We start from the raw sequence: 23,498 nt of genomic DNA, 5'->3' as shown, positions 1-23,498 counted from the left end.
TCATAGGATTTCTTCTAAAAGTTTTATAGTTTTAGGTTTCGTTTAGGCTATGATCCATCTTGAATTATTATTTGTGTCTATGGTGTTAGATAAGGATCAAGATTCTTTTATTTTAAATTGAAAAATGCGTTTCCTTCTGCATTGAATTATGTTGATACATTAAACAAATCAATAGACCATATAAGTGTAAGTCTTTTTCTGGCTTTTCTATTCCATTTCATTGATCTGTTTGTCTCTTCTTACACCATGCTGTCTCGATTACTGTAACTTTATAGTGAGTCTTCAAATGAGATAATATAAATCCTTCAACTTTGTTCTTTTTTTTTTGTTTTTGAGACAGCCTCGCTCTGTCCATCTCACTGCAACATTTACCTCCCAGGTTCAAGCAATTCTCCTGCCTCAGCCCCCTGAGTAGCTGGGATTACAGGCACCCACCACCATGCCCAGTTAATTTTTTGTATTTTTAGTAGAGACGGGGTTTCACTGTGTTGCCCAGGCTGATCTCCAACTCCTGGCCTCAAGTGATCCATGTGCCTCAGCCTCCAAAGTGTTGGGATTACAGGCGTGAGCCACTGTGTCCAGCTAACTTTGTTCTTCTATATCAAGAATTCCCCAATCGTCCATTGATTATGAAAATACAGTTGATTGGCTGGACGCAGTGGCACGCCTGTAATCCCAGCACTTTGGGAGGCTGAGCTGGGCAGATCACTTGAGGTCAGGAGTTTGAGACCAGCCTGGCCAACATGGTGAAACCCTGTCTCCACTAAAAATACAAAAATTAGCTGGGCATGGTGGTGCGTGCCTGTAATCCCAGGTACTTGGGAGGCTGAGGCAGGAGAATCACTTGAATATGGAAGGCAGAGGTTGCAGTGAGCCAAGATCATGCCATTGCACCCTGCACTGCAGCCTGGGCGACAGAGTGAGACTGTGTCTCAAAAAATAAATAAATAAATAAATAAAATAAAATGCAGTTGATTTTTATATATTACCCTTGTATCTTGAAAATTTTTGATGACTTTTATTTTTTAAACAGCTTTACTGGGACATAATTCACATACCATACAATTCACCTATGTAACATGCACAATTCAATGGTTTAAGTATATTTATAGACATGTGCCACCATCACCATGAATATCTAGCAAGCTTGCTGAATTGCTTTATCAGCTGTAGTAGGATTTTTGGGTACATTTTTTGGGACATTTTAATGCAAATAATCATGCTGTCTGTGAATAACACAGTTTTCTTTCTTTAAACAGAATTTTAAGGCCATTTGCACTGGCTAGGACTTTTAGTGTATTATTAAGTGGAAATGATAAGAGCAGAACTTTTAGTTTTATTTTTACATCTTTATTTTTGAAGGACATTTTCTCTGGGTATAGAATTTTAGGTTGGCTTATTTTTCTCTTCCCATTTCTTTAGCACTCTACAATGTCTTTCCATTTTTTTTCTGGCTTCTTTTTGTTTCTGATGACAAGTTATCTATACTATTTATTTTTCTTCCCCTAAATGTAATGTGACCTTTTCCTCTGGTTTCTTTTTTTTTTTTTTTTCCCTGAGATGGAGTCTTGCTCTGTTGTCCAGGCTGGAGTGCAGTGGCAAGATCTCAGCTCACTGAAAGCTCTGCCTCCCAGGTTCACACCATTCTCCTGCCTCAGCCTCCCAAGTAGCTGGGACTACAGGCGCCCGCCACCACGCCCGGCTACTTTTTTTGTATTTTCAGTAGAGACAGGGTTTCACGGTGTTTGCCAGGATGGTTTCGATCTCCTGACCTCATGATCTGCCCACCTCGGCCTCCCAAAGTGCTGGGATTACAGGCGTGAGCCACTGCACCCGGCAGTTTGTTTGTTTTTTGAGACAGAGTCTCACTCTTTCACCCAGGCTGGAGTGCAGTGGCATGATCTTGGCTCACTGCAACCTCTGCCTCCTGGGTTCACGTGATTTTTGTGCCTCAGCCTCCCAAGTAGCTGGGATTACAGGCATGCACCACCATGCAGGGCTAATTTTTGTATTTTTAGTAGAGATGGGGTTTCGCCATCTTGGCCAGGCTGGTCTTGAACTCCTGGCCTCAAGCAGTCCACCTGCCTCAGCCTCCCAAAGTGCTGGAATTACAGGTGTGAGCCACCACACCCGACCATCTCTGGTTTCTTTTTTTTTTTTTTTTTTTTGAGATGGAGTCTTACTCTGTCATCCAGGATGGAGCACAGTGGCGCAATCTCAGCTCACTGCAACCTCCACCTTCCAGGTTCAAGCGATTCTCCTGCCTCAGCCTCTGAGTAGCTGGGATTAGAGTCACATGCCACCACACCCAGCTAATTTTTGTATTTTTAGTAGAGATGAGGTTTCACCATGTTGGCCGGGCTGGTCTCGAACTCCTGACCTCAAGTGATCTGCCCATATCAGCCTCCCAAAGTGCTGGGATTACAGGCAGGAACCACCTGGTTTTTTAGAAACAATTTTCTTTTCCCTTGATTTTTATCAATTTCATTATTGTCCCTATATGTAGTTTTCTTTGTATTTATCATGTTCGTATAATTTTTTGACCTGCCTTTGAGTTTGATAATCCTTTCTTTTGTTACTCTCTCTAGTGAACTATTCATTTTGGGTATTGTATTTTTCAGTTTTAGAATTTCAGAACTAGGCATGGTGGCACGTGCTTGTAGTCCCTACTACTCAGGAGTGTTTCTTGAGCTCAGGAGTTTGAGACTAAAGTGGATGATATAACAACACCCTGTCTCTTTAAGTAGAAAAAAAAATTGCATTTCTTGTATTCTGTTTTTTAGAGTTTCCATTTGTCTGCCAAAATTCTCCATCTTTTTATTCATTTTTTTCTACCTTTACCTGTAAATTATTTTCGATTATATGTCTATTTATATAATCTTTGTTGTTTCAAAGTCTTTGCTAATTCTAACATATGAGTCATCTGTGAGTCTGCTTCTATTGCTTTTTTTCCTTTTGATTACAGGTCACATTTTTCTGCTTCTTCATGTGTCTCATTTTTAAAATTGTATGCAAACACTAGATAAAAGCAGTAGAGACTAGGGTGGGCCATTTTTCAACTAATCAGGAGTTCAGTTAGGTTGGGGCTGTTTTGACACTTTAGTTGGTTTGCATCCCCCTCAGTTTCAAATGTCTTGAGGCTGGGATCAGGCTCCTTTCTCCAGCAAAAGTGTGGAATATTAGCACTGTGAGACTTGAGAGCTCTCTCTGCTGTCCAGGCCAGCCCCTGGCTCCCTGTGCTGCTGTGGGTCCAGCAGAAGTCCCATGGGAGGGAATGGTGGCAGCAGAGGACTCACTGTGTGTGTGTGTGTGTGTGTGTGTGTGTGTGTGTGTGTGTGTGTGTGTGTGTGTGGCTTTTCCAGATTCCAAATTGTCTTGCAGCTCGCATGCAACCATTGAAAGTTCAAGTTCAGCTGGTTTCTCCCCATCACAGCATTTCACTGCATATGGCGGGCTTACTCCTGCAGGTCCTTGTGTCCAGAGATTTGGTACATATCCACAGGCATGAAAGCAGCCACTAACCTCCGTGCAACTAGACAGGGACAGAGCCACTTTAGAATTCAGTTTTAGATGCTCCATACCTACTGCTATGTGATGTTTTAAGTTTGTCAGGTGTTTTCTTATTGTGCAGTTGTTGCGGGAGTATTTTGTGACCCTCTGCATCCTAACTGGAGGTGGAGCCCTCTGACATTCCCATGCAGTGGCGTTTCTTCCTCCTTTCTGGCTACTCTGGAGGGAAGCCCTTCCATGCCCAGACCAGCCTTTATACGTTTCATTTCCTCTCTTGATGTTGCCAGGGCTTTTTATTCTTCACAGGATGTGAGTTACCCCATATATTCTGATCAGTAATTAGATTTTTGATTTAAATTTTCTATCTTTTTTTTTTTAAAGACTGGGTCTCGCTCTGTCACCCAGGTTGGAGTGCAATGGTGCAATCATGGCTCACTGCAGCCTCGACCTCCCTGGGCTCAGGTGATTTTCCCACCTCTGTCTCCCAAGTAGGTGGGACTACAAATGCACACCACCATGCCTGGCTGATTTTTGTATTTTTTGTAGATACAGGGTTTCGTTATGTTGCCCAGGCTGGTCTCAAACTCCTGGGTGCAAGTGATCCACCTGCCTTGGCCTCCCAAAGTGCTGGGATTACAGGTGTGAGCCACCACACCTGGACTTTTTTGTCTTCTTCTCTCTCAAAAAACCGATGCCCACTACTTAGGTCGTGAGGAGTTTGGGGTTTATTCTTCCAGATAATGAAGCACAAGGCTTTCATGAGTATGTGTGTGTGTGTTGGTGGGGAGGTGTAGGGAGTGTTGGGAGTTGGGGGAAGTAAAAAACTGACTAGTGTTACAACAAAGGCCTGTATCCTATTATCCTCAAATGAACACATATCACACCTTCTCTGTCACACCCTCTATTAGTCCATTTTCAGGCTGCTGATAAAGACATACCCAAGACTGGGCAATTTACAAAAGAAAGAGGTTTAATTGGACTTACAGTTCCACATGGCTGGGGAAGCCTCACAATCATGGCAGAAGGCAAGGAGGAGCAAGTCGTGTCTTACATGGATGGCAGCAGGCAAAGAGAGCTACTGTAGGCAAACCCCCATTTTTTTTTTTTGAGACGAAGTTTCACTCTTGTTGCCCAAGCTGGAGTGCAATGGCATCATCTTGGCACACTGTAACCTCTGTCTCCCAGGTTCAAGCGATTCTCCTGTCTCAGCCTCCTGAGTAGTGGGATTACAGGCACAAGCCACCATGCCCAGCTAATTTTTTGTATTTTTAGTAGAAACAGGGTTTCACCACGTTAGCCAGGCTGGTCTCGAACTCCTGACCTCAGGTGATCTGCCCGCCTCGGCCTCCCAAAGTGCTGGGATTACAGGTGTAAGCCACCACGCCCAGCCCAAACTCCCATTTTTTAAAACCATCAGATCTCATGAGACTCATTCACTATCACAAGAAAAGCGTAGGAAAGACCTGCCCCCATAATTCAATCACCTCCCACCAGGTTCCTCCCACAACATGTGGGAATTGTGGGAGTTATAATTCAAGATGAGATTTGGGTGGGGACACAGAGCCAAACCATATCATTCCACCCCTGGCCCCTCCCAAATCTCATGTTCTCACATTTCAAAACAAATCATGCCTTCCCAGCAGTCCCCCAAAGTCTCAACTCATTTCAGCATTAACTCAAAAGTCCACAGTCCAAAGTCTCATCCGAGACAAGGCAAGTCTCTTCTGCCTATGAGCCTGTAAAATCAAAAGCAAGTTAGTTACTTCCTAGATATAATGAGGGTACAGGCATTGGGTAAATACAGCCATTCTAAATGGGAGAAATTGGCCAAAACAAAGAGGCTACAGGCCCCATGCAAGTCCGAAATCTAGTGGGGCAGTCAAATCTTAAAGCTTCAAAATGATCTACTTTGACTCCATGTCTGATATCCAGGTCATGCTGATGCAAGAGGTAGGTTCCCATGGTTTTGGGCAGCTCCACCCATGTGGCTTTGCAGGGTACAGGCTCCCTCCCAGCTGCTTTCATGGGCTGGCGATCAGTGTCTGTGGCTTTTCCAGGTGAACAGTGCAAGCTGGATCTACCATTCCGGGGTCTGGAGGACAGTAGACCTCTTCTCACAGCTCCACTAGGCGGTTCCCCAATAGGGACTCTGTGTGGGACCTCTGTCCTTACATTTCCCTTCCACACTGCCCTAGCAGAGGTTCTCCATGAGAGCCCAGCCTCTGCAGCAAACTTCTGCCTGGGCATCCAGGCATTTCCATACATCCTCCGAAATTTAGGCGGAAGTTCCCAAACTCCAATTCTTGACTTCTGTGTACTCACAGGCTCAACACCATGTGGAAGCTGCCAAGGCTTGGGGCTTGCACCCTCTGAAGCCACAGCCTGAGTTGTACATTGGCCCCTTTCAGCCATGGCTGGAGTGGCTGGGACACAGGCCACCAAGTCCCTAGGCTGCACACAGCACAGGGACTCTGGGCCCAACCCATGAAACCATTTTCTCCTGGGCCTCTGGGCTTGCGATGGGGGGCTGCTGTGAAGGCCTCTGACATGTCCTGGAGACATATTCCCCATTGTCTTGGGGATTAACATTTGGCTCCTCATTACTTATGCAAATTTCTGAAGTCGGCTTGAATTTCTCCTTAGAAAATGGGGTTTTCTTTTCTATCACATTGTCAGGCTGAAAACTTTTTGAACTTTTATGCTCTGCTTCCCTTATAAAACTGAATGCTCTTAACAGCACCCAAGTCACATCTTGAATGCTTTGCTGCTTAGAAATTTATTTTGCCAGATACCCTAAGTCACCTCTCTCGAGTTCAAAGTTCCACAAATCTCTACAGAAGGGGCAAAATGTTGCCAGTCTCTTTTTGGCGACATAAGAGTCACCTTTGGTCCAGTTCCCAAGAAGCTCCTCATCTCCATCTGAGATCACCTCAGCCAGGACCTTATTGTCCATATCACTATCAGGCTTTTTGGTCAAGGCCATTCAACAAATCTCTAGGAAGTTCCAAACTTTCCCACATTTTCCTGTCTTCTTCTGAGTCCTCCAAACTGTTCCAAGCTCTGCCTGTTACCCAGTTCCAAAGTTGCTTCCACATTTTTGGGTATCTTTTCAGCAACACCCCACTCTACTGGTACCAATTTACTGTATTAGTCCATTTTCAGCTGCTGAAAAGACATACTGAAGACTGGGCAATTTACAAAAGAAAGAGGTTTAATTGGACTTACAGTTCCACATGGCTGAGGAGGCCTCACAATCATGGTGGAAGGCAAGGAGGAGCAAATCACGTCTTACATGGATGGCAGCAGGCAAAGAGAGCTTGTGCAGGCAAACTGCCTTTTTTTTTTTTTTTGAGATGGAGTCTTGCTCTGTCGCCCAGGCTGGAGTGCAGTGGCATGATCTCAGCTCACTGCAAGCTCTGCCTCCCAGGTTCATGCCATTCTGCTGCCTCAGCCTCCCCAGTAACTGGGACTACAGGTGTCAACCACCACACTTGGCTAATTTTTTGTATTTTTAGTAGAGACGGGGTTTCACCGTGTTAGCCAGGATGGTCTTGATCTCCTGACCTCATGATCCTCCCGCCTCAGCCTCCCAAAGTTCTAGGATTACAGGCATGAGCCACTGCACCCAGCCCAAACTCCCATTTTTAAAACCATCAAATCTCTTGAGATTCATTCACTATCATGAGAACAGCACAGGAAAGACCTGCCCCCATAATTCAGTCACCTCCCACCAGGTTCCTTCCACAACACATGGGAATTGCGGGAGTTAAAATTCAAGATGAGATTTGGGTGGGGACACAGAGCCAAACTATATCACACCCACAACTTCCCACATCTTTCAATGTATTCCCATATTCTCCACCCCCTCATCCCATTAACTTCACATCCCAGCCTCAAATGGCCTCCTCCTCTTCCCTACATTCCCCCTACAGATCCACATTGGCCTCTCCCATACTCACCCTATACATTTCAAGTGCACTTCTCAGTGACCCCAGGGGCTGTGCCTCTCATGGCCTTACCCTGTCCAGCTGGGTCTTCAGAGGCCGAGATCAGGCAGAAAGGGGCCATGCTTGTGCAGTGGCCACCTTCATCCATCTGATTGTGGCCTTGAGACCCCAGGGACAGAGGAAGACAGGAGAGCACTTGGACCCATTTGAGCCTCAGATGGAGTCCAGGCTGGTCCTCAGGCCCTCATGGGGTTCCTTGGGGACTGTGTTAGGCATGAGTCAGCAATTTAACTCTCCTCTCCAAAGGTAATCATTGGTAATAGTTTGGTATATATACCTTTTTTCTTCTTTATATTCATTTACAACATATAATGTGTATCATGTAATAACTTCTGGCATAAATTATTCAATTTTATGTGTATAATTATGTTCCTAGTTTTGTTTGCATAGTGGGATCAAAAGGAACTTTAGTTTTTTACTTATAAATACATCTTTATATATTTCCTCATTAGTAATATAGATCAAATTCTTATTTTTAATAGTTATGTAGTATTTTATAGTATGAATGAACTATGCATCATTAAATTAATCCCCTATTGATTATTTAAGTTGGCTATATAAGTTTTTTCTTTTCTTTTTTTTTTTTTTTTGAGATGGAGTCTTGCTCTCTTGCCCAGCCTGGAGTGCAGTGGCATGATCCTGGCTCACTGCAAACTCCACCTCCTGGGTGCAAGCGATTCTCCTGTCTCAGCCTCCTGAGTAGCTGGGATTACAGGTGACAGCCACCACACCCAGCTAATTTTTGTAATTTTAGTAGGGACAAGGTTTTGCCATGTTGGCCAGGCTGGTCTCGAACTCCTGACCTCAGTTGATCTGCCTGCCTCGGCCTCCCAAAGTGCTGGGATTACAGGCCTGAGCCACTGCGCCTGGCCAAGTTTTTTCAATTAAATGTTATTAGAAATGACTGGCTTTTTATAAACCTTACAGCAATGGGCCAGTATTTCTGGCATCTTGCCTTTGAAGTCAGGGCTTTGGCCATTTCTGGCAGAAAAGAATGGGCAGCGCTTTTGTCTTTCCCTTGGAGGGGGCTCACTTGTTAGGAGCCATCTGGTGCCTGAGTCACAGGTGCCCTTATGACATCACAGGCCTTTCTTCCTCCACCCTTCCTGCCTATGCTATGGCTGGATGAACACAGATGTGAGGGGATTTGAACCATCTACAATCAATCCATATGTGACCAATGGTAAGAGAAAGCCAGACACACCAGGCTTGTTAGGGATGTCCCCATAGATCTCTCAGGGTGAAGGGACCCCCTGACACTGAAGACTCTAAGAAGCCCTGGAAGCTGGGGATGTGTGCCATATTGAATGGAGAGGGAGGGACCGCAGCCTCACTCTTGCCTTTCCCCTAATGCTGATTGCAGGAGGAGAAGCAGCCCCAAAAGACGAAGGAACCCTCAAAAGAAGATGAGCCTCAGCAGAAGGAGATGCCAACCCATTTGTCCTTAGGAGCAGAGTCAAAGGCAGAGGTAGGAGGAGCCCTGACTTGGATGTCATTGATCCCATGTCCTAGTGCTAGTAGCTAGTGTCTTTTGCATGGTGCTGTTATAAGTGAAGTTTCTGTGCCGCAAAAGAAATAGCACTCAAATATAAAATTTTCTTTTTAATTCTCAGCAAGGCAAGGTACTTCTATAGAAGGGTGCGCCCTTACAGATGGAGCAATGGTGAGTGCACACTTGGACAAGGGAGGGGAAGGGGTTCTTATCCCTGATGCACGTGGCCCCTGCTGCTGTGTCATTCCCCTATTGGCTAGGGTTAGACCACACAGGCTAAACTAATTCTGATTGGCTAATTTAAAGAGAGTGATGGGGTGAGTGGTTTGGTGGGAAAAATGGTTACCGCGGAGCAGGAAATCGGAATGAGTCAGGGTGGAGACTGAGCAGGTAATTGGAATGAGTCAGGGTGGAGCCGGTAATCGGAATGAGTCAGGGGGGAGTAGGTAATCAGAATGAGTCAGGGCGGAGCAGGTAATTGAAAAAGGTTGCTTTACAAGGAAGTTAAGTTTAAAAGTAGAAGGCAAAGAATTGAACATATTGACATACTGATTCTTTGAAGAGAAATTTAGAACTCATACCTAACAACTTCTCCTCTTGCATTTCCTTACAGCTCTTTCTCTTTAAACTTCTTTAACATGTCTTGGCTTAGATGTTCTGCTTGATTTTCCAAAAGAAGAAGCTTCTCTGGATAAGGTGGAGAATAGTTAAGGGAGGTTTTAGTAAGTGCTGTTTTTATGAGCCTCTTTGCACCAACCCACGGACGCATGGTGTGACACAGCACCCAACAAGAATAAATACACCCATTGCGGCTGCCAGGGAAGTGAGAATTGAGGCTATAATTCTTTTCCATTTACTGAACCACTTTTCTAGCCATCCTGTAAAGGGCTCATTTAACCCTGAGTTGTTGGCTAACTCATTGGACAGGGCAGTCAGACCTTGCAATGCCTTTGTTATACTTCCATCAGGGGCAGTGTTGTTTGGGATGAAGGTACAACATTGAGTTTTAATCATGAGGCAAACTCCTCCTCTTTCTGCTATTATCATGTCTAAGCCTATCCTATTTTCCCAAGCCATCCGGCTAGTAGCCCCTAATTGCTCAGCTATTCCTTTAACACCATCTCTAGTGTAGTTAATAAATCGCTGTTGGTTGTAGCATATGTAGTTTATTCAATCTATATTTTTATTAATTGTCTCTCAACAAAATATTGACTCAAATCCTGCAGCTATTTGATTTTAGGCTTTAAATTGATCTGGTATTCCCTGCTAGACTCCAATTGCATTTAAATAGATGTGAGAGTCAAAAGACCCATAAGGGGCTTCTCTCACTTTACGATGTCTTATTTTTCCTTCCTCTGGTTGATGAAATGCCAGGGTGAAAGGGATAGCCAATTGGACTAAAACACAAGTGCCACTTCAGATATTCATCAGAGCGTCCAGTAAAGGTCCACCACAATACCACCACACATCCCCTCGGGGATGAACAAGGGCTGACTGATTGATAAGCTCTTGAAAATTCTTAAGCTCACTGCATCCGTTCAGGTCTCCAAGGAATGCTAAGTTTCCTCCCTGTCGTGAGAGACATGAAGTGAACTTAGTATTGGGAGATGGAAGCTGGATGACCCTCGGGGGCCGACCCACAGGGTGCCAGACTTCAGAATATAGCAGAGAGAAAGAGCATGGCACGACTTGTTACTCCAGGCTGTAGAATCCTGGAAAAGAGCTACCATGCAGCCCACAACCAGTCAACTGGAGGACCACCCTAGTGGAAAGGGGACATTCTGGGCCCCTGGCCTGCTGGGTGCACAAGCATAACAATTGCTTTTGTTTAATGTGCGGACGGAATATTTGATCCATTCCAACCAGACATTTGCATCTTGGTATCCTGTCTTAATTGCCAAAGTTTGTTTTAAGTCTTTCGCTTCTACGATAGCTATCTTGGTCTTGTTGTTAGATGGAGGAGGAGCAATTGTTCCATGTGAGAGGTTTTGGAAGAAGGCTTAGAGGAAGGTGCAGGCGGTGGGGGTTCAAAGAAATGCATTTCAAAGAATCCAATAGGGTCTGTCCCTGAAACCTCAGCCCCCATACCATAACACTGGCTTAAAGAAGGGAACTGGCTTAGAAAAGGGAAAGAACTTTGAGGATTCAAGGTAATAACCTGTATAGGATTGCACTGGTTTAGCTGACAGTTAGTGGGAGGCGGGGGCTGTCCCTCTAGTAAGATGAATGTATGGTTTTAGGAAATTACAAAAACCGGTTGGGGCAGTCCATCCTTGCTCTTTAGTGGTCCACAGAACCCTGGACCAACTATGGTATAAAAGCTCTACATCGCGGGGCAAGACTCCTGGTTGACACTGGGGTCTTTATCAAAATCTCCCAGGATTAAATGGTCCCAATTCACTAATACCCAGTCTGAGGAGAGTCAGGAGGGACAGAGGTACTTTTCTGAAGTAGAGAGCTGTCTTTGACTTGGCAAGTCCCCACAGGGTATAACAAGGCAAGCATCAAATGCAATAGTTTGAAGTGAAATTGACTTGGTTATGTTAATAACTAGATGGTCAGCAATAGAGCGAGGAAAGAAGAAAGAGTAATAGAATAGATGAAAGAGAGTTAAATTCTTCTTAGCTTTAGTTTGATAGGGTTTTCCCCTGGGACTATGGCCCGTGACTCTGGAAGGGGTGGCGCTTTCTTGACTCAGGTGTGGTGAGTCCATCCCCTTTCCGCTGTACAACAGCAGTCTCGGTGGTTAGCAGCACAGGGTAGAGTCCTTGCCAGGCTGGCTGCAGTTTTCCTTCTTTCCACCCTTTGATGAGAATGTGATCTTCAGGCTGGTGCTGGTTTACCGGAAATTCTAGGGGTGGTACCTGTGCTAAAAGACTTTTAGTTTTGAGGGAAAGGAAAGTGGAAGATAAACCGAGTATATGATTTCTAAGAAACTGACCTTTTGTTTTAAATGTGGGGACATCAGCAGTGGACTTTATTGTCCTTGGTGCCTTCTTACTGAGAAATTTCCTTTAGCACCTATTTTTATTAGTTTTTAGACCAAAGAAAGCCAAACACCATTTTATATTTGACAAGCTTCCTGTATGATTTTTATACCAGATAAGCTAAATTTCACCTTTATATTAAGTGTGTTATTAATGTTAAACTTAATTTTAATAAAACCTTGTAGACATATTTATCCAATTTTTGATGTCTGACCATAAGGTAAGAATTTTATAGACTGTTTTTAACCTTTTATAATTTTTGTTAAAGAGCAGGTTAATGCTTTAAGAAAAACCTGTTGTGCTTTTATTTTAATGTCCAGTTCACAGAAAAACTGGATGATACCCCTTTAACTTTAGCCAATATGTTTACACACAGAACTTCCTTTACAATTAATGTTTCAAAACTTGCTTAAACCTTTAAAACAAAAAAAATTTTTAACCTTTTAATGTAGGTAAAAATCCACATTCTTATGCCTCCTTATAATCCTTTTACCAAAGGTATATTTTACTTTCCTTACACACCTTGCACATAAACTGTTTCTTCAATAGTTTTACATTCAGGAGGCCTAATTACTTTTAAATTATACAACACTTCTTGCATAAATTCCCTTTTAAAACTTTTTTTTCATGACTTTCACAGATAATTCTTCAACATGCCTCAATTTTCTGACTTGTTGCAAACACCCCTTTCTTTAAACAACCAGTTAATTTATTTTAGGACAAGAATTTACCATATAATATCCCTTTTTACATAAATTCTCCCCCCACCCCCTTTTTTTTCCTCGAAGATGATAACCATTCTTTTCCAATGTGAACTTCCTTCATGCCTGTGGACTAGACTGTCTAAGGCCACAAGATTAGAAGTTAGGATAATACATGTTACACTGTTAACTTTCAGCCAACTTTACTTTTGTTGAAAACCTTGTAAGTTTGGGATTTCAATTATTCTTTGCTATTAATAAGATCTGTTCAGTCCATATTAACTTAGAATTGGTATAGACGGCTCCTTCCTGATTCTGTAAGTACTTTAAGGCTTTGCTGAGTGCAAAACAGCTTGCAGGTTTGAGCAATTTTCCTAACTCTGCTTCTACAAGAGTTTCCTTATCACTTACTGAATACCCATTGTGTCTTTTTCCCTCAATCACCCGGGAGGAACCATCTATCATCCTGTCCTGAAGGGAGCTCCTCGTAGGTCTGGTTGGACCTTTGTATGGTAATTAAGATTTAGATCCCCAGTTAGGAAACCTGGGTTAAGGGAATTTTCAGTGGTTAATGTTAAATCATCTTTTTCTAACAGAATAGCCTCATACTTCAAGTTTCTTGAGTCAGTAAGCTACCTTTTTGCTTTTTTTTTTTTTGACTTAGGATAGTTCTGACCTGAGGAGGTGTGTTCACAGTGAGGTTTCCTCTAAAACTTATTTTTCTACTTTCTTCTGTTAGCAAAGCAGTTGCCATTACAGATTGAATGCCTTTGGGCCACCCTCAGGTTACTGGATTAAGGATTTTTTTGTTATGAAGGCTACGGGTTGTCAGTGGCCTCAGTGCTTTCGGGCTACGCCCTTGTTTACACTGACAACAAGGTGGTATTGGACTGTTATAGGGTCCCGGAGAAGACCTTCAATTATGAATTATAGGTTTTAAATTTACCCTGACTTTTAAAGGAAGAGGATACACTATTTTCTCTTTACTACTTCCATCTCTCTCTCTCTCTCTCTCTGACTCCCTCTTTGTCTTTCTGTCTCTTTCTCTCTCTCTTTGACTGTGTTTCTCTCTGACTTCCTCTCCCAGTTTCTCTTTCCTCTTTGCTGGTCTTTCCCTGCCTCTGCCAGCCGCTTATACTATTGTTCTTCCCTCTCCTTCCCCTTCCCCTAGGGGAGGTACCGTTGGGAGTGGAGCTACTCTTTCTTCCCTCAAGAAGAAAGGAAAGGGGTGTTCTGAATATTTTTCTTACTACTGGAGGTTTGTGTGAGGTTCAACCCCCTGAAATTTGTAGAAGGCTCGACCCCTCAAAGCAGGGACGTCTCGCCTTGCCTGCCCCGGAAGGCTCAACCCCTCAAACCAGGGGGTGTCTTGCCTTAGTGTTGGCGTGCTGGTATAAATCCCATGGCAGGATCCGCCCTAAGTGTAAGAGGTAGCTACAGAACTGCAGAGAGGACCCACTCACTCCGTCGAGCAGTAGGACTCGTCACTGTCCACACGAACAACACTGCAAATAGGGTTGTTTGTGATCATTCACGCACACACATTTAGCCCTCCAGAATTTGACCACCAAGGAAGTACTTTATCGGCTCCCACAGCTTCTCCTTCCTTGGTCTGTGCACAGAGTTGTTGCCGCAGTATGTGAGGATCCTTTAAGCTAGGTTGCTGGCCAGTTTCTTTCCGCGTTGCTGAGAGCTCGCGTTGCGTTATTCCTCACACTGGGTGGGTCCTGATTTTTCACCCCTGAGGCTGCCACAAGGGGGTGGGGCATGCCTCCTCACGTTGGAGAACCAGAGACCACCCCCGGAGGGGAATGTAATCACAGGCGAGCCCCCAAATTGTTATAAGTAAAGCTTCGGTGCCGCAAAAGAAATAGCACTCAAATATAAATTTTAATTCTTAGCAAGGCAATGCACTTCTATAGAAGGGTGCGCCCTTTCAGACGGAGCAATGGTGAGTGCACACTTGGACAAGGGAGGGGAAGGGGTTCTTATCCCTGATGCCCGTGGCCCCTGCTGCTGTGTCGTTCCCCTATTGGCTAGGGTTAGACCGCACAGGCTAAACTAATTCTGATCAGCTAATTTAAAGAGAGTGATGGGGTGAGAGGTTTGGCAGGAAAAATGGTTATGGCAGAGCAGGAAATCGGAATGAGTCAGGGTGGAGACTGAGCAGGTAATGGGAATGAGTCAGGGTGGAGCCGGTAATCGAAAAATCTTGCTTTATGAGGAAGTTAAGTTTAAAAGTAGAAGGCAAAGAATTGAACATACTGACATACTGATTCTTTGAAGAGAAATTTAGAACTCATATCTAACAGTGCTGGGCTAAGAAGAGAAATAAACAACTCAATCTTGTCTGTTCTCTTTCCCCATTTCCTTTTCAGGCTAAAACTCCAGTTCTGGTTGAGACACAGACAGTGGACAATGCCAATGAGAAATCAGAAAAAGTATGACCTCCCAAACCACACAGGGCTGGGGCTGGGGATGTGGGGGCTGTGCTGGTGGAATGGAATGACCATGATATGGGAAGCTGGGCTCAGTTAGAAGTATGTGTGTGTGTGTGTGCGTGTGTGTGTGTGTGTGCGCGCGTGTTTGAGCTTGTGCATGTATATGTGCTTGTAAATTAAGATTTAAAATGTGAAAGTTAAGAAAAATGATGATAGGGAAGAGATGTAAGTTTGAACTTTGGGGTGGAGGAACTTTTAATACTATGACATGTTGACGGAAAGAAAAAAGAGTTGAACTCTGCAAAATATTTGAAGAGATTTATTCTGAGCCAAGTATGAGTGACCATGGTCCATGACACAGCCCTCAGGAAGTCCTGAGAACATGTGCCCAAGGTGGTCCAGGCACAGCTTGGTTTCATACAAATTAGAGAGGTATGGGACATCAATCAAATACATTTAAGAAATACATTGGTTTGGTCCAGAAAGGTGGGAAAACTCGTAGTGGTGGCTGGGGAGAGGGCAGTGTTTCCAGGCTACAGGTGAATTTATACATCTTTTGACTGACAATTGGTTGAGTTTGTCTAAAGACCTGAGATTCATAGAAAGGGAACATTTGGGTTAAGATAAAAGATTGTGGAGACCAAAGTTCTTTTGAAGTCTTGTAGTGTCTCCCCTTAGAGACAACAGAGGACAAATGTTTCCTATTCAGATGTTAGTTAATCTCTTTAGGATTGAGAGGGTCTGGAAGAAAAAGATCTAGCTATGTTAATAGAGACTCAGATGCAAATTTTCCTCCACAAAGAACAGCTTTGCAGGGCCATTTCAAAATATGGCAGAGAAACATGTTTTGGGATAAAATATTTTTCTTCCTTGTCTGGTAATGTTATGCCAGGGTCAGGTTTGAAAATCAGTCACAATATATAGGGTTAAATAAAACCCATCTGATGAGAAGTTATGATTTGTGGGGCATGACTCCCCAGACCCCTTAGATAGGAATTTGGGCAACATAGAAAAAATCAGGGTTTAGTCTTCAGACATGACAGAGGGAGAGAACAGGCTGTGGCTATGAACGGTTGTCAGGGATGAGAAGGCAGGGCCGGCAAAGGATGTGACTTCTCCAGTAGGTGGAAGGGGTCTGAAAGAAAGGATCAGGCCTGGGTGGAACATGGTAACCCTTTGACCCTATATCACAGTGTTCTTGCTGGTCAACAAGGTCCATGGAAAACTGGGTGAGGTAGCCAGGGCAGGTGTGCCCCAAGATGGGGAGGACACTGAGACCCAGGGGCAAGTTGTTGTGCTTGTGGCTATCAACCAGAGGATGGCAGAGGCAGGACATCTACCTGATCTTCTGGTTCCAGCCAGTGCCCTGCCCAGTGCTCCTGAATTCCAGAAAAAGAGACAGTTGCTGATAGGGAATCAGGGCCTTTCCTGGCACACCCCAGAGCTGAAGCCAGTGGGGAGCATTCTCTGAAGGTCCCTCTTTTTTTCTTGAAAGCCCCCAGAAAACCAAAAGAAGCTCTCTGACAAAGATACGGTAGCCACCAAGATCCAGGCCTGGTGGCGGGGCACCCTGGTGCGTCGGGCACTGTTGCACGCAGCCCTCAGTGCCTGCATCATTCAGTGCTGGTGGCGGCTGATACTGTCCAAGATTCTGAAGAAGAGGCGGCAGGCAGCGCTAGAGGCCTTCTCCCGGAAGGAGTGGGCAGCAGTCACACTGCAGTCCCAGGCCCGCATGTGGCGCATCCGCAGACGCTATTGCCAGGTGCTCAATGCTGTTCGCATCATCCAGGCTTACTGGAGGTGCCGCTCCTGTGCTTCCCGGGGGTTCATCAAGGGCCAGTACAGAGTCACAGCCAACCAGCTGCATCTCCAGCTGGAGATCTTGCTGGACTCAGGGCCTTGCATTGTGACAGAGTGTATTCCCTTCTCAATAAAGGAATGAAGTGGTCTTTTCCAGATAGTCTCTGACAAGCTTCAGGTCAGAGCAATGGATGGCAGATACCTGGCATTTGATATACCAGCTCTGAGGAATGGGCAGGGCTTGTCTGAGGCCTCATGTGGAGCAGGACTCTGAGCCTCTTTTCTAGACTGAGCAGAGACTGTGATTGATTAGCAATGTGTGCCGTAGGAAGGAAAGTTGGGGGTACAGACCAGTCAATTGGCCAACTCCATGGAGCATCATTCGTATTTACATCATTCTGTGTACATAGTGCACCCTCCCTAGGACTTGGTATAATGGAAGCCTGGCGGGTGGTGGTCATGGCAATGGCAACACATTCTCCAGGAATTCACTCGTCTGGGTCTAGTTGCTCAGGGCTTGTTCCCCAACCCCTAGGACTGAGAGGAGCCCCCCAACCCCAAGCCCTGTGATCTTGTCTCCCTGCTGCACTGGGGGCTATGTCCTTATACTTGGCTTCTAAGAATCTGAGACCCAAACTGGAAGCTGTTAGCATAACTCAAGTCCTCATCCTAACCCCAAACCCCAACTGTCCCTTGCCCTCGAGCCCCGTATGAAAACTAGGACTCATTTTCCTCCAGACCAGGCTGGTATGGGAGGTTCCACAGGCAAGGGGGTGGGAGAGAGGGCATTTTGCTGCCAACCCAACCCTCTGGTGAGTGTTAGACCTCAGGCTATCACAGCTGCAGGAGCTGAGGAGGCATTAGTTTTGTGTTCCTTACCCTCCCCACTGGCCCAACTTCTGCAAGGGCCAATCCAGGCAGAGCTGGCTCCTCTGAAAGTCCCTCCCTGTGAAATGCTGCCAGCTGGGGTGGGGTTGGGGCCCAGGTGATGATAAGGGCCAAATAAGAGGTGAAGATTTGCATTACTCTGATGATTACTGATGTTGAACAATTTTTCATATACCTGTTTGCCATTTAGCAGGTAACAATGTAGTATATATTTCTAGATACTTAAAAAAAGATTTTGAATGTTGTCACTACAAAGAAATGATAAATGTTTAAAGTGATGGATATGGTAAATATCCCAATTTGGTCATTATAGTATATATACATGCATTGAAATATAACATTGTACCCCATAATTATGTATAATTATTGTCAATTATAAATTAAAAAATTAATAACAACAAAAAAAGAGGTTAAGATTAGGCTGAACATCTGCCTGTCAACACTGCTGTCCCTGTCCTGTGGTTCCCTGCACAGAGGGAGGATTCTGAGGTCTGGGTCACAGCCCTATGTCCAGCCCTGCTTCAGTGACTGTGCCCTGGAGAGCTGGTCCCTCAGCTCATAGATGTTCTGAGATGCTGCCCAGAAGTCTCAGGCTCTAGCTCTCGAGCATGAGCTCTGTATTTCCTGCTCTGTCCTGCCATGTCCTGCCCCTTGTGTCTCATTCAGGGCCTGGGTCTCTCATACCCACTCTGAAGGATTCTTGTCTTTCTCCTTGCCCCTGTTGTCCTGTGTTCAGAGTATCAGGGCACAGAGCTCTGACCTCTGACTGCTCCACCTCTCATTGCCCTGTGGCCATAGACAAGTGATTTCCCCTCTCTGAGACCAGTGTCCTGAGCTGTGAACTGGTGCTAACCTTCCCCACCTTCCAGGGTAAACAGTCAAGCACCATAAAAACTAGCATCTTCAAAACATCAAGTTTGTACACCTACATTGTATTTAACTTTGTTAATTATACCTCAATAAAGCTAAAAAATAATTCTGCATCAGCATCAAAACAAGGAAAGGGGTCACAAACAAGCCTTAAATACTGGTAGCCATGGAAAAAGCAGCCAATTCTGGGGTCAGCTGGAGTGGCCCAGCAGAGCATATGGAGGCATGCTCATCATTGTTGAGGTACTCCCACTCCCAGGCCTCCTCAGTGGACAGAGCCAGGAAATACATGTTTGTGTATATGCACAAGCATCGCACATTTATATCTGTGTTCATTTCTGTGCCTATCTATATGGAAATCTGTGAGCTCACACTGATACCTCCAATCCCAAATTTAAGAATTCACTCTAGTTTTCTCCTTTCCATATTTCTTTTCTTTTCTTTCCTTTTTGAGATGGAGTCTGGCTTTGTTGCCCAGGCTGGAATGCACTGGCACAATCTCGGCTCACTGCAACCTCCGCCTCCCTGGTTCAAGCAATTCTCCTGCCTCAGCCTCCCGAGTAGCTGGGATTATAGGCGGCCACCACAACGACTGGCTAATTTTTGTATTTTTAGTAAAGACAGGGTTTTGCCATGTTGGCTGGGCTGGTCGTGAACTCCTGACCTCAAGTGATCCACCCATCTCGGCCTCCAAGTGTTGGGATTACAGGTGTGAGCCACTGTGCCCGGCCTCCTTTCCATATTTCTACCTCTTCTTTTCTGAGAATGACACCCCTAGCTCCCATGATCTTTAATACATTTTCTTATTTGATCTTCCCTTTGTGCAACTAATTCTGCACAGCTACTGCTGGCCCCTCTCTCACAGAGACAATGGCCCATTTCTCTTGATCTCTGATATACGATGCCGTCTATTGTCCTCTTCTTGTGGCTCAGGCTGTGGCTCCCTACATTGGTCTGACGACTGGGGTAAATGCTCTTTCACCCAACCTGAGCTGACACAAAATGTCAGGCTACCCTCTGCGTGGATATCCTCCTCACTGTGCTCAAGTTCTGATGGTCTATGCCACCAAGGATGCCCTTCTCATCCTGCCCAATATGACGCTATTACTGGTATGGACTTACATCCCTGTGTGAACTCCTCCTCCCACTGCCTGGGTTCCATACTGGTCCCTCCTAGAACAATGCTTTCCTCCTCTGTCTTGTGACCCTCCCTCACCTGGCTCTGTTCCATGGTGGCTCTCTTTCCCCCTGGTGCAGCTATGTTGCACTGCCCAGCCTGAGGATTTCAGACTGACGGAGTGATTCAGGAAGGAAAGGGGGAAAAAAAATGAAGGCAAGGGCAAGAGAAAACTAAATTTTCAATTAAAAAAAAAGGAGACAAAGCATCTGCAGAAGAAAATTTTCAATCATGGGCTAACATCTGCTTCAACGTTTTCACCTCAAACCTCAAGCAAGCATAACCACAGAGAAGATCCGGAAATTGTTCATGAAATAATGAATCAAAATGTTTGAGGCTCAGGCCTTCCTCTCCCACTACAAATTCATAGGAATAACAGGAAAAAATACATTGATTTCAAAAGTTTGTACTAGTGCCTAAAATATAGGAAGGGGGCCTTCAGAGAATAGAAAGCATGTGGAATCCCTAAAAGACAGAAGGTATATGTGGAAAAACTGAAAGACAATAAATTAAAGCTTTAGAAAAGGCAAAGGCAAAGGCAAGAGTGGCCATGCAGTTTCTCCATGCTTGGAGCTAGCTGGCCCAGGGACAGCAGGGCTGTGGGCTCTGCAGGGCGCTGGTTGGAATATGCCCATAGGAGGAGCAGCCAGCTCTCTGCTGAGCTACACAGTTGGCAAGACGGTGGCTGACGGCAGAGGGCTCTGTGACCCCCCCAGGGCCTGGTGCCATGTGACACCCTTGCACAGCAGGGACCCTGCCCAGAGGACCACCCACAGAGGTCCCACCCTGACAGGCCACCTCACTGAAATGGAAGACCCAGAAGTTCCACTGTTGGTCGAATGTGTGCTTCTGAGAAAGGATGGAGAATGGAGGAAAGGAGCATGCAAGCATGAATGAGAGGATCTCCCATCATCAGTGAGAGTTTTAATGAGATTCTTTAGAAAGAACTACAGTTTAAGACAGTTGACCAATGGCATCAAGATGAGTGAAAACAGATGGAACCCAAAATATGTTATGGCTGAAGTTAAACTGAATGAAGATACTGAAACTTGTTTTTTTTGTTGTTTGTTGTTTGTTTTTTTGAGGTGAGTTTTGCTGTTGTTGCCCAGGCTGCAGTGGCACAATCTCAGCTCACTGCAACCTCCACCTCCTGGGTTCAAGCGATTCTCCCACCTCAGCCTCCCAAGTGGGATTACTGGTGCCCACCACTGCACCCAGCTAATTTTTGTATTTTTAGTAGAGACGGGGTTTCACCATGTTGGCCAGCCTGGTCTTGAACTCCTGACCTCAGGTGATCCACCTGCTTTGGCCTCCCAAAGTGCTGGGATTGCAGGCGTGAGCCACTGCGCCCCTCCAAAATACGGAAACATTTAAACAGGAAATAAAACCAGTGGCTTACCCACCAAGGAGTAAGGCAGGGTGACTTCAGCTTTCTCAGCAACAACACTGATTGCAAAGAGAGAGAGTGGAGCCACAGCCCCAACTTTCTGCAGAAGAATCTTTCTCAGTGCAGAATCATAAACTCACCCTGATGTTATCCAAGTATTGCCTCCCCCCTCCCCTGCAATCCATGGAGTCAGGGATGTGGCACTCAATAGGCTAATCTAAAAACAAAGATAAGCACCCAAACAAGAACCACCAAGCTTTGGAGGAAACCAATAGCAGGAAAAAGCATTCTTAAACTCTGCAAGCAGAAACCTGATAACCAAGGGAAAGACTTGAGAAATTAATATCCTCATTGGGTGGAGGAAGACATCTTAGATACAAAAGAACAAGCCCTTATTAAAAAGCCATTTATGGATCTCAGAAAGGAATAATGATTGTCAAAATTAGAACCCAGCAGATGGGATGAATAGCAGAATGCACGTATAAAGCGCGGATTAGTGAGTGGAAATTTTGATGTGAAGAATCCTCCTGGAGTGTAGCACAAAAGGTCAGAGAAATGAAAAGCTTAAAGAAAATAAATAAAAGAATGAGGCATTGATCCAGAAGTTCCAGTCATGGTTGACTGTGTATTGCTGAGAAAGAAATTGCAGAGATGGAGGCAGAAACATTCAAAGCATTGATGAGTTTTCCAGAGCTTAAAGAGACTCACTTGCTCTCAAAAGATGAAGGAAAACAGATGGAGCTTCACACAGGTCACAGCACAATCTCATAACTCATGAAGATAGAATACTTAAATATTTAAAGAGGAAAAGGAATCAACACATCACCTCCTAAGGAACAAGTTTCAGATTCACATCAGCTTTCTCAGCATCAAAACTGAGTGCAAGGAGAAAATGGAGCAACACTCCCAATGTTCTGAGAGAAAGTAAATGTGAGCATTGAATGCTATACTACCCCAAATGTCATTCAATTGTAAGTCCAAAGTGAAAGGCATTCTTTTAATTCAAAATTTAGTCTACATCAAAAGTCTCTGACTGTAACTCTGGGAAATTAACTCCATGACAAAGGAAAACAAATCCAGGAGAATGGCACAAGACGTAGTGATGAGTACAGATGCCACTAACATTTATTGTTATGACTGAATAAGATTTTCCTATAAAATATATTTCTTTTTTTCTTTTAGACAAGGTATCTCTCTGTCACCAGGCTGGAGTGCAGTAGCTGGATCATGGCTCACTGCAGGCTGCACCTCCCAGGCTCAAGCGATCCTTCCACTTCAGCCTCCTGAGTAGCTGGGACTACAGGTGCATGCCACAATGCCCAGCTAATTTTTGTATTTTTTGTAGAGATGGGGTCTCACTATCCTGCCCAGGCTGGTCTCAAATTCCGGGGCTCTAGCAATCCGCCTGCCTCAGCCTCACAAAGTGTTGGAATTACAGGCGTGAGCCACTGCGTCTGGCCAAAATATGTATATTTCCATAAAATATGTCTATTTCTCAAATGATGGCAACATGGGAGGTTGCTGGAGACTGTATGGAGAAAAGGAACTTGGGCTAAAGTTCTTGCCTAATTTGAGGCCCAAGTGATACTGATTTGCTTCAGATGCTCCATAGGCAAAATAAAATCTGTGTTAACAAGTACTAGAAGAAAAGCAACGAGGTATATAACGTCTAGGTAAATTAGAAGCTACATTCAGCTAACACAGAAATCTAAAATACAGTGAGTCAAACAAATTAGAGGGTTGGTTTACATCACCTAAAAGAAGTCTGAGAGTGGACAGTCCAGGCTCAGTGGACAGCGCCATGATGTCATCACGGAACTAAGCATCTACTGTTTCCGCACCACCTCCCCACCATGTTGGGGAGATAACCCATGTCCTCATGCTCTCAAAGTGGTTACCAGAGTGCTGGCCATCAAGTTCACATTCTAGGGAAGAAGAGGGTTAAGGTGAAATGGGAAAAAGGCCCATTTGAGCCCAGCCTGGCTCCTTAAAGTGGTGTCCCAGAAGGCCCACCCAGCGACTCCTGCTGACATCTCATTGGCCAGCGAATATCACGTGACCACTCCAGTCGCAAGGGAGGCCGAGAAACGCTATTCCTTTAATTGCGCACTTTGCCAACCCCAATAAAATCAGTTCTTTTTAGTGATGAAGTGGGACTCAGTATGGGTAAGCAACTCACAATATCTGACACAATTTCTAAAACAGTAGGAAGAAAAAAACCTCACCCATCTCAAAACT

General features: G+C 44.8%; 1 protein-coding gene across 3 annotated transcripts, besides 1 other annotated feature; it reads left to right on the top strand.

Annotated features, from left to right (window-relative positions):
- The first annotated feature begins 8,616 nt into the window (after nt 1-8,616).
- IQCF1 (IQ motif containing F1) lies at nt 8,617-17,094 on the top strand. Of its 3 annotated transcripts, NM_152397.3 has the most exons (4): nt 8,617-8,700; nt 8,881-8,985; nt 15,076-15,138; nt 16,634-17,094. In NM_152397.3, exons 1-4 carry the CDS (start codon nt 8,698-8,700, stop codon nt 17,078-17,080), a joined length of 618 nt encoding a protein of 205 aa, NP_689610.2. In that variant the 5' UTR covers nt 8,617-8,697; the 3' UTR covers nt 17,081-17,094. The 3 variants fall into 3 exon arrangements, with proteins under 3 accessions (NP_689610.2, XP_016861218.1, XP_011531668.1); XM_017005729.1 differs by lacking the exons at nt 8,617-8,700; nt 8,881-8,985 and adding an exon at nt 9,146-9,180; XM_011533366.2 differs by lacking the exons at nt 8,617-8,700; nt 8,881-8,985 and adding an exon at nt 14,625-14,648.
- Nucleotides 8,860-10,059: an enhancer, noted in NCBI's record as "P300/CBP strongly-dependent group 1 enhancer chr3:51935927-51937126 (GRCh37/hg19 assembly coordinates)". NCBI's record gives its function as "activates an origin of replication core promoter dependent on BRD2, BRD4, P300/CBP, MED14 and CDK7 cofactors, with strong dependence on P300/CBP, by STARR-seq in HCT116 cells {active_cell/tissue: HCT116}" and the evidence as "EXISTENCE:reporter gene assay evidence [ECO:0000049][PMID:35650434]".
- Nucleotides 17,095-23,498: the final 6,404 nt, after the last annotated feature.

This window comes from Homo sapiens, chromosome 3, assembly GCF_000001405.40.
Source record: "Homo sapiens chromosome 3, GRCh38.p14 Primary Assembly".
Lineage (NCBI taxonomy): Eukaryota > Metazoa > Chordata > Mammalia > Primates > Hominidae > Homo > Homo sapiens.
Note: the sequence above shows the minus strand (reverse complement) of the source record. Positions and strands in the feature narration are given on the sequence as shown.

Excerpts from the sequence above, each read along its gene's own strand:
- IQCF1 (NM_152397.3), top strand. Across the intron at positions 8,986-15,075 it reads GAGCAGAGTCAAAGGCAGAG|GCTAAAACTCCAGTTCTGGT; the intron begins GTAGGAGGAGCC and ends TTTCCTTTTCAG. Across the intron at positions 15,139-16,633 it reads CCAATGAGAAATCAGAAAAA|CCCCCAGAAAACCAAAAGAA; the intron begins GTATGACCTCCC and ends TTTTCTTGAAAG.